The sequence below is a fragment of the Homo sapiens genome, chromosome 10 (assembly GCF_000001405.40).
Source record: "Homo sapiens chromosome 10, GRCh38.p14 Primary Assembly".
Taxonomy (NCBI): Eukaryota; Metazoa; Chordata; class Mammalia; order Primates; family Hominidae; genus Homo; species Homo sapiens.
The window spans coordinates 24,740,885-24,752,596 of record NC_000010.11 but is presented as its reverse complement, the minus strand read 5'-3'; positions in this window follow the sequence as shown (position 1 = coordinate 24,752,596).

The following is an 11,712-nucleotide window of genomic DNA, read 5'->3' as shown; positions in this document are numbered from 1 at the left end:
GTTTTTTCATCCTTATACTTTAAGGGTGTTTATTACACTTTAAAATATATAGACATTATTGGCCAGGCACGGTGGCTGACGCCTGTAATCCCAACATTCTGGGAGGCCAAGGTGGGTGGGTCACCTGAAGTCATGAGTTCAAGACCAGCCTGGCCAACATAGTGAAACCCTGTCTCTACTAAAAATACAAAAATTAGCTTGGTGTGGCGGCACATGCCTGTAATCTCAGCTACTTGGGAGGCTAAGGCAGGAGAATAACTTGAACCCAGGAGGTGGAGGTTGCAGTGAGCCGAGATCATGGCCACTGTGTTCCAGCGTGGGTGAGTGTCCAGACTGTCTCAAATAATAATAATAATATATAAATTTTTTAATGTTCAATATGTTATTTCACTATGAACCATAGAGTAAATGCTGGTAAGCCTTGCTTATGAATCTGTGGTTTTGAATACAATAATCAGGTTTCAAATGCTCTTCCTTTCTGTATACCCATCTCCTCCCAATTTCAGAAATGATTAAAGGAACTGAACATTAGGTAAAGAAATGGGGCTTCATCATGCTTAGAAATTCAGAGAATCTGAACCAGATCTATTCATGATTCTGTGAGTTGCAGAAGCACTTGCAATTTGAGATTGAAAGAGCTTATCAAGTATTTATCAGGCATGAAGAGACACTTCCTCATACATAGGCTGATGACAGCTAGGAATTGCAAAGAAAAACAAAAATCCCGCAAGCTATACTGACACACCCAGAAAAGGTTACTTTAAAAGGCAAAAATAAGTTGGCATCAAAATTGTTTTCTATAATATTAAATATCAGAAGGGAATGAAGCAAATTTTAAAATGTTGTGAAACTATGATCAATTTTATGAAATGCCTATGAATTCTGTATAATAACTAAAAATAATTGGACATATTGTTTGAAGTGTTTTGCATGGATTAGCTCATTAAATCCTCAAAACAAGGTAGGTGCTATCCCCATGTTGCAGATTGGAAAACTGAAGAAAGAGAGGTTGCCCAATGTTTGCAAGTTTACCCATGCAAAGCCAGACATGGGTAAGCCAGCATTTGGACCTTGGCCATGTGAGAACAGAACTTGATCTCTTAACCATGACTCTATTTTGACCCATTATAAGAGACAATGTGGTACTTCCCCCGACCTGCTGCTTCAAAAATAATTTAAAAACCCCAGACATTAGGCCTAGTGCAATGGCTCAAGCCTGTAATCCCAACACTTTGGGAGGCCGAGGTGGCCAGATCACCTGAGGTCAGGAGTTCGAGACCAGCCTGACCAACATGGTGAAACCTAGTCTCTACTAAAAATATAAAAATTAGCTGGGCGTGGCAGCAGGTGCCTGTAATCCCAGCTACTCGGGATGCTGAGGCAAAATCGCTTGAACCCGGGAGGCAGAGGTTGCTGTGAGCTGAGATCGCACCACTGCACTCCAGCCTGGGTGACAGAGCGAGACTTCACCTCAAAAATAAATAAATAAATAAATAATAAAACCCCAGATGCTATATATAAAACAAACATAAGAAGAGCACATGAAAAGATGTTCTACATCAGTAGCCGTTAGGGAAAAGCAAATTAAAATCACAATTAGATATCACTATATACCTATCAGAATGACTACAAGAAAAAATTATAACACCAAATACTGGCAAGGATGCAGAGAAAGTGGATCACTAATACATTGTTGGGGGAGTATAAAATGATGCAATCACTCTGGAAAACACTTTGTCAGTTTCTTTAAAAACATGTCACTACTATATGACCCAGCGATTGTACTTCTGGGTATTTATCCCAGAGAAATGAAAATTTATATTCATGGAATATAAATTTGTACACACATGTCTTACAGCAGCTTTATTTATAATAACCAAAAGTTGGAAACAACCTAGATGACCTTCAATGGGTGAATGGTTAAACAAAGAGTGATACATCCATACCATGGAATACTGCTTAGCAATAAAAAGGAATAAATTATTGATACATGTAACATTCTAGATGACTCTCCAGAGAATTATGCTGAATGAAAAAAGACAATCCCCAAAAGTTATAGACTGTATGATTCCATTTATAAAACATTATGGAAATGACAAAGGTATAGAAAAAAAAGAACAAGTTAATGGTTGCCAAGTCAAGGGGTGGTTGGAGGGTCTGGGAGAGAAGTGGGAGTGGCTAAAAAAAGATAGGGCAACCTGAGGGATTCTGTTTTTCGTTTAGTGTTTTTTTGGTTTGTTTTTTTTTTTTTTGAGACGGAGTTTCGCTCTTGTCGCCCAGGCTGGAGTGCAGTGGCGCAATCTCAGCTCACTGCAACCTCCGCCTCCTGGGTTCAAGCGATTCGCCTGCCTCAGCCTCCCGAGTAGCTGGGATTACAGGTGCCCGCCAGCACGCCCGGTTAATTTTTGTATTTTTATTTTTTTAGTAGAGACAGGGTTTCACCAAGTTGGGCAGACTGGTCTCGAACGCCTGACCCTAGACAATCTGCCCGCCTCGGCCCCCCAAATTGCTGGGATTACAGGCGTGAGCCACCGCGCCCGGCCAACCTGAGGGATTATTGAAGTGATGGAAGTGTTGTGTATCTTGACTATGCCAATATCCATATCCTGGCTATTTTACAGTCTTTACCATTGGGGGAAACTGGGTATTTCTTATAACTGCTTGTGAATCTACAATTTTCCCAAAATAAGAAGTTTAATTAAGAAATAAAAATTTGGGCCGGGCGCAGTGGCTCACGCCTGTAATCCCAGCACTTTGGGAGGCTGAGGTGGGCGGATCACCTGAGGTCAGGAGTTGGAGACCAGCCTGGCCAACATGGCGAAACCCCATCTCTATAAAGAATACAAAATTAGCCGGGCATGGTGGCACATGCCTGTAATCCCAGCTACTGGGGAGGCTGAGGCAGGAGAATCGCTTGAAACCAGGAGGCGGAGGTTGCAGTGAGCCAAGATCACGCCACTGCACTCCAGCCTGGGTGACAGAGTGAGACTCCATCTCAAAAAAAACAAGAAATAAAAATAAAGATATGGCAGGGCATGGTGGCTCACACCTGTAATTCCAGCACTTTCGGAAGCCAAGGCGGGCAGATCACCTAAGGTCCAGAGTTTGAGACCAGCCTGGCCAACATGGCAAAACCCCGTCTGTACTAAAAATACAAAAATTATGGCTAGGCGCGGTGGCTCATGCCTGTAATCCCAGCACTTTGGGAGGCCGAGGTGGGCGGATCACCTGAGGTCGGGAGTTTGAGACCAGCCTGACCAACGTGGAGAAACCCTGTCTCTACAAAAAATACAAAATTAGCCGGGCATGGTGGCACATGCCTGTAATCCCAGCTACTAGGGAGGCTGAGGCAGGAGAATTGCTTGAACCTGGTAGACGGAGGTTGTGGTGAGACGAGATTATGCCATTGCACTCCAGCCTGGGCAACAAGAGCGAAACTCCATCTCAAAAAAACAAAAACAGAAACAAAAACAGAAATTAGCCAGCCGTGGTGGTGGGCGCCTGTAATCCCAACTACTCGGGAGGCTGAGGCAGGAGAATCACTTGAATCCAGGAGGTGGAGGTTGCAGTGAGCAGAGATAGCACCACTACACTCCAGCCTTGGAGACAGAGTGAGACTCTGTCTCAAGAAAAAAAAAGAACAACAAAAAGATGCTAAGATACACCACACTATTCACACTATTACCCTTTAGGGGTGGGGGAGCAAAAGAGGGTGGCATTGGTGCTCAAAGAAGTTCTTCAAATTGAGAGGTTGAGAGGCCGGGCGTGGTGGCTCACTCCTGTAATCCCAGCACTTTAGGAGGCCAAGGCGGGCGGATCACTTGAGGTCAGGAGTTCAAAACCAGCCTGGCCAACATGGCAAAACCCTGTCTCCACTAAAAATACAAAAATTAACCAGGCGTGGTGGTGAACACCTGTAGTCCCAGCTACTCCAGAGGCTGAGGCCAGAGAATAATTTTTTGAACCCAGGAGGTGGAGGTTGCCGTGAGCCGAGATCACACCACTGCACTCCAGTCAGGGCAACAGAGTGAGACTCCATCTAAAGAAAAAATAATAATAATAAAAGAACAATAGTAGAACTTGAGCAGATGAAGAGCACATTAAAAACATGATAAAAGTGGACCCACAGGGAGAGAGAATCACACTGAAGTGTCGAATTTTCATGTCAAGCTGTTATCTTCCTAAAACACTACTGGTGTGAGATTTAGTCTATAGACAGTGATTCTGCAAGGGACAACTAATTACAGTTAGAGGTTAGCAGGCAAAGACGATCAACTTGGATCTAATAGAGTAATTTTCCTTCAAAACTGTTATTTGTGGTTTTTTCAGTTGTGGAAAAATATATATATCCCAAAATTTACCATTTTAAACTTTTTTTTTTTTTTGAGATAGGGAGAGTCTTGTTCTATGCACCTCATAAGTGAAATTATAGAGTATTTGTCCTTTTGTGTCTGGCTTATTTCACTTAATGTAATGTCTTCTGGTTTGTCCATGTTGTAGCATGTGTCAAAATTTCCTCTCTTTTTTTGAGAGAGGGTCTCTCTCTGTTGCCCTGGCTGGAGTTCAGTGGCATGATCATGGCTCACTGCAACTTCTATTTCCCTGGCTCAAGTGATTCTACTGTCTCAGCCTCCCAAGTAGCTGGGACAGGCACATGCCACCATGCCTGGCTAATTTTTTTTTTCTTTTTTTAGAAACAGGGTCTCACTATGTGGCCCAGGCTGATCTCACACTCCTGACTTCACGCAATCCTCTCGTCTTGGTTCCCCCAAAGTGCTGAGAATACAGGCATGAGCCACTGCATCTGGTCAAAATTTCCCTTTTTTTAAAGAATTAATAGGCTGGGCGTGGTGGCTCACACCTATAATCCCAGCACTTTGGGAGGCCGAGGCGGGCAGATCACCTGAGGTCAGGAGTTCGAGACCAGCCTGGCCAACATGGTGAAACCCCATCTCTACTAAAAACACAAAAATTGGCCGGGTGTGGTGGCATGCACCTGTATACTCAGGAGGCTGAGTATACTCAGGAGGCTGACGCAGGAGAATCACTTGAACCTGGGAAGCAGCGGTTGCAGTGAGCCGAGATCACACCACTGCACTCCAGCCTGGGCGACAGAGTGAGACTCCATCTCAAAAAAAAAAAAAAAAAAAAAGTATCTTTCCCCTTTTCCTTCCCCCCTCAGAGTTTCCTTCTTTAAAAAGAAAACAAAATAATTAATAATATTATGTGCATGACTGTAGTCGAGCACTTTGGGAGGCCAAGGTGGGTGGATCGCTTCAGCCCAGGAGTTTGAGACCAGCCTTGACAACATGGCGAAACCCTGTCTCTACGAAAAAATTCAAAAATTAGCTGGGCATGGTGGTGTGCACCTGTAGTACCGGCTACTTAAGAGGCTGAGGTGGGAGGATCACTTGAGCTTGGGAGGTCGAGGCTCCAGTGAGCTGTGATGGTGCCACTGCACTCCAGCCTGGGTGACAGAGTGAGACCCTGTCTCAAAAAATACATATATATTATAATAATATTACATTTCAGTGTGTTTGTGTATTAACCACAAGTTTTATCCATTCATTCATGGCTGGACACTTGAGTTGCTTCTTCTATCTTTTGGCTATTGTAAATCATGCTGGTGTGAACATGGGTATTCAAATATCTGTTCTAATCCCTGTTTTAAAATCTTTTGGGTATAAACCCAGAAGCAGGATTGCTGGATCATACGGTGATTCTATTACTCTATTTTTAATTTTTTGAGGAGCCACTATACTGTATTCCTTAGTGACTGTACCACTTTACCTTCCCACCAACAATGCACAAGGAGTCCAGTTTCTCCATATTCTAGGCAACACGTGTTATTTTCTGGGTTTTTTGTTTTTTTTGCTAGTAACCATCCAAATGCATGTGAATTTTTGTTGTTGTTGCTTTGTTTTGTTTACAGATTGTGATCGTATATTTTTATACATTGCTATAATCAAGAATTATATTTATACTGAAAAAGAATATCTGTTTGCAAAAGACTCTCAGATGTATCATCTACAGCTGGCTATGCTCAGTGCTGTTTGTCACATGCTGTTAGCAAGGCTGCAGACACGGATTTTAGGAGGAATTAGCCTTTGTGGGGTTACCTCAAAATCCCATACCTACTAAGTGATGGTAACAGCGTGTTATAGAGGCCATTCTCCCCCTCACCTCATCTGCTTAATGCTCCCAACTTTCTCCTGTACCAGCCACTTCCCACATACATTTTTTTTTTTTTTTTTTTTTTTTTTTGAGACGGAGTCTCGCTGTCGCCCAGGCTGGAGTGCAGTGGCGCAATCTCGGCTCACTGCAGGCTCCGCCTTTTTTAAGCTGCTTCAGTTTTTTTTTTTTTTTCTTTTTAGAGACGGATGCCTTGCTATGTTGCTCAGGCTGGTCTTGAACCCCTGGACTCAGGCAATCACCCACCTTAGCCTCCCAAAGTGCTGGGATTACAGGCATGAGCGACCATGCTCAGCCCCTGTTTCAGTTTTTTTTTTTTTTTTTTTTTTTTTTTGAGACGGAGTCTTGCTCTGTCGCCCACGATGGACTGCAGCGGCACGATCTCGGCTCACTGCAAGCTCCGCCTCCCGCCTTCACGTCATTCTCCTGCCTCAGCCTCCTGAGTAGCTGGGACTACAGGCGCCCGCCACCACGCCCAGCTAATTTTTTTGTATTTTTAGTAGAGACAAAGTTTCGCCGTGTTAGCCAGAATGGTTTCAATCTCGATCTCGCGTGAGCCACCGCGCCTGGCCCTGTTTCAGTTTTAATAGCGCTTCAGTATTCATTTTAGAGGAAGAGGAGGAGGAGTGGAAAAAATATTCATTTCAAATGCCCGTTACTTGGAGGTATACGTTCTTCTCCATGAAAATAAGAAGTTAGGCCGGGTGCAGTGGCTCACACCTGTAATCCTAGCACTTTGGGAGGCTAAGGTGGGCAGATCACTTGAGGTCAGGAGTTCGAGACCAGCCTGGCCAACATGGTGAACCCCATTTCTACTAAAAATACAAAAATCAGCTGGGCATGGTGGTGCCTGCCTGCAATGCCAACTACTCAGGAGGCTGAGGCAGGAGAATTGCTTGAACCCAGGAGGCAGAGGTTGCAGTGAGCTAAGAGCACACCACTGCACTCCAGCCTGGGCAACAGAGCAAAAATCTGTTTCAAAAAAAAAAAGTTGAGCTTTATGTTTTTACTAAAGCCTTTGAAGTTTGTGTATTTATTATATAAAACTCATAATTCAATCAAATTAAATATTCACTTTAGAAATATTTTCTATGGAAATAGAAGGAAAAAAATCCCCTTGGAGAAATGAAGTTCCTTCTGTACCCCTCAGAAAATCAATGCTATAATGGGTAAGTTTTCATTGCTGCCTCACCCAACTTGTTCCGTTTTATACAAAATCAGAATAGCTTCCTGTTGCACTGCCAGATGGTTGAAGTGATTTCACAGGGACATTGCCCACACGTGCTTTAATGAAGAAGTCCAAACAGAATAGTTTACATTTCTGGACTAAGAACTCCTAAAATGCCTTCTGCTCCAGAATAAGAGAAAGCAAGATACAAATTCTTGCACACGTTCTTAAGTGTCAAGCTTCTGATGGCTTCTGTGAAGTAAGCATTTCCTTTTCCACTAATTGCCTCTGTAGCAGGTGGTTCCCATCCCTGGTGGCACAGTGGGATCACCTGAGGGGAGTATTAAAATCCCCATGTGCGGGCCCCACCTCCAGAGAGCTTGAATTCATCTATCTCCATGGTGGTCTGAGCCTCAGGAGTTTTTATTGTGTGTGTGTGTGGACATATATATGTATATGTATACATATATATGTGTCTCCACGCACACACAATAAAATATAGTGTGTGAGTATATATATAGTGTGTATATATATATAGTGTGTGTGTATATATATATATAGTGTGTGTATGTGTGTATATGTATAGTAGAGATGGGGTTCTCACTATGTTGCCCAGGCTGGTCTTGAATTCCCAAAATGTTGGGATGACAGGTGTGAACCACTGTGCCCAACAGGAGTTATTAAACTCTCAGAAGAATTCGAGTGTGTAGCCCAGGTTGAGAAGCCAGGTACTACTTAATTTGCCGCTTTTATCAACTCAATTCCTAGAATGATGAATCGTTTTTCTTTTTTGAGACAGAGTCTGCTCTGTCGCCTAGGCTACAGTGCAGTGGTGTGATTTCAGCTCACTGCAACCTCCACCTCCTGGGTTCAAGTGATTCTCTTGCCTCAGCCTCCTGAGTAGCAGGGATTATAGGCACGCACCACCATGCCCAACTAATTTTTGTATTTTTAGTAGAGACGAGGTTTCACCATGTTGGCCAGACTGGTCTCAAACTTCTGACCTCAAGTGAATCATCCACCTCGGCCTCCCAAGTGCTGGGATGACAGGCGTGAGCCACCGTACCCGGCCCCTGCATTTTCAAACATGTAACCAGAATTCTAAATCAGACTTGGCATCAGGGTTCTAAGTTCCCCACCTTTAGCTATGAGAGAGCACAATTTAAAATTAGTGAGCTAGATTTACTGCCTGGGCTCCCATGGACAAACTGGAGTTCTCTGAAATTTGTGCAGAAGCACAAATTCGAGTGACAGGAGCATCCACATCACTATTCAGTGTTGCTACTTGCTGTGGGTGGGCTTATTGCATAACACCTTTGTCTTCTGGTTAAAAATGACCTCCAAGTGAGAAAGCAAATGGTGGTGAAAATGAAAAGAGCAGGCTGGGCGTGGTGGCTCATACCTGTAATCCCAGCACTTTGGGAGGCTGAGGTGGGAGGATGGATTTAGCCCAGGAGTTTGAGACCAGCATTGGCAACACGGCAAGCCTCTCTCGCTACAAAAAAACACAAAAATGACCCAGGCGTGATAGCACATGCCTGTAGTCCCAGCTACTATGGAGGCTGAGGTGGGAGGATAGCTTAAGCTTGAGAGGCAGAGGTTGCAAAGAGCGGAGATCATGCCGCTGCACTCCAGCCTGAGTGACAGAGCAAGATCCTGTCTCAAAAAAAAATAAATAAAATAAAAATAAGTTACCTTGTTTTATAAAGATATACATAAAAAACACTCAAAAACATTCAATTGTAGGCTGGGAGCGGTGGCTCACGCCGGTAATCTCAGCACTTTGGGAGGCTGAAGTGCATGGATCACTTGAGATCAGGAGTTCGAGACCAGCCTGGCCAACATGGTGAAACCGCCATCTCTACTAAAAATTCAAAAATCAGTTGGGCGTGGTGGCACCCACCTGTAGTCCCAGCTACTCGGGAGGCTGAGGCATGAGAATCGCTTGAACCCAGGAGGCAGAAGTTGCAGTGAGCCAAGATGGTGCCACTGCACTCCAGCCGGAGCGACAGAGCAGACTCTATCTCACAAAAAATAAATAAATAAAAGAAAAGAAAAAGAAAAACATTTAATTGTAAAGCATATTCATGCGTTTTCCATTTTCCTCAGGAATGCTTATATTGTTCACCTCTTTCAATAGTCAGTCACTTAACAAAATGCCATAAACTAGAAAAAAAAGTCAGCCACCTTTCTATAGCACATGTGGGGAGAAAGAAATAGCAAATTAATTTCATGTCTGTTCCCGGCTCATGCAGCTGCATAGCTGTACCTCTGTTATCCCGTGTTCCCTCTGATGGCTGCCAGCTTCTGTGTTAGGCCTGTGTTCAACCTGTAGCTAGTTGCTGCTAAAAACCTTGTACTACTTTTATTTATTTATTTATTTATTTTGAGATGGAGTTTCTCTCTTGTCTCCCAGGCTTGAGTGCAGTGGCGCAATCTTGACTCACTGTAACCTCCACCTTATTTATTTATTTATTTATTTATTTATTTATTTTGAGATGGAGTTTCTCTCTTGTCACTCAGGCTTGAGTGCAGTGGCGCGATCTTGACTCACTGCAACCTCCACCTCCAAGGTCCAAGCGATTCTCATGCCTCAGCCTCCTGAGTAGCCGGGATTACAGGTGCCCACCACCACGCTCAGCAAATTTTTGTATTTTTAGTAGAGACGGGGTTTCACCATGTTGGCCACACTCGTCTTGAATTCCTGACCTCAAGTGATCCACCTGCCTCGGCCTCCCAAAGTGCTGGGATTACAGGTATGAGCCATTGCACCCAGCCCAAAAAACCTTGTCCTACTCACCTTCCATGACACAAGGTTCTACAGCCGTGCTGAGTGGAGGGATGATTTAGGGAAGGCCAAATTTCCATTTACTGCCCAATCGTTTGGTTTTCCGCAACACTCCACCTGAGTACATGAGGCTTGCTGAAGTTATGCAACTAACTAAAGGGAATTACATCCAGGCTCAGTGGCTCATGCCTGTAATGCCAGAACTTTGCGAGGCTAAGGTGGGAGAATCGCTTGAGGCCAGGAGTTCAAGACCAGCCTGGCAACACAGCAAGACCCCCATATTCACAAAAAAATTAAAAAATTAGGCCGGGCATGGTGACTGATGCCTGTAATTCCAGCACTTTGGGAGGCCAAGGCAGGCAGATTGTTTGAGCTCAGTTCGAGACCAGCCTGGGCAACATGGTGAAACCCCATCGCTACAAAAAAATACAAAAATTAGCTGGGTGTGGCGGCACATGCCTACAGTCCCAACTACTCAGGAAGCTGAGATGGGAGGATCACTTGAGCCTAGGAAGTGGTGGTTGCAGTGAGCTGAGATCATGGCACTGCACTCCAGCCTGAGTGATAGAATGAGACCCTGTCTCAAAAAAAAAACAAAAACAAAAAAAAATAAGCCAGGTGTGATGGCATGCACCTGGAGTCACAGCATCTCAGGGGGCTGAGGTGGGAGGATCCCTTGAGCCCAGGAATTGAAGGCTGCCATGAGCTATGATCATGCCACTGCACTCCAGCCTGGGTGACAGAGTAAGACCTTGTCCCATAAAAAGAGAATTATAGGCTGGGAGTGGTGGCTCATGACTGTAATCCCAGCACTTTGGGAGGCCAAGGCGGGTGGATCATTTGAGGTCAGGAGTTCGAAACCAGCCTGACCAACATGGTAAAACCCCGTCTCTACTAAAAATACAAAAATTAGCGGGGTGTGGTGGTGCCCAACTGCAATACCAGCTACTTGGGAGGCTGAGGCAGGAAAATTGCTTGAACCTGGGAGGCGGAGGTTGCAGTGAGCTGAGATCATACCATTGTACTCCAGCCTGGTCAGCAACAGCAAAACTCCATCTCAAAGAAAAAAAAGAGAGAATTACAATGTAGTCAGAGGAACTTTTAAACAGGAGGCAAAATATGGCTATTATCAGAACCTAAGGCAAAAGAAGAAGAAATCAAGCACTCCTCACAAGGCCCTTTCTGGCACAGTCCATTTCCTGGCCTGTCTTCTCTGTCTCACGATCCACCTTCCTATATATTTCTGCAGAAAGGCTTTTCTTCAATTATTGTTTCATTTTTTGAAACTGGAAAAATTCCTTCCCTCCCTCTGAAATACCTTCCTTCCCTAATCAAGGCAATACATAGCACTCAAAAGTCTTAGAGTACATTTCCCAAAATTGAGTTGCAGGATCTATTCACTTAATTTACTCAAATTTAACTGCTATACAACCCTCTTTAAATAATAGAGAATAATAACAATTTGTATAGTGCAGGTGACACTGCCTGCTTTCTTCAAAAGCTTTCAACCAAAAGTGAAAATGAGATGGGAGATATGAGTCTACATATCCTTCCTTGGTAGCAG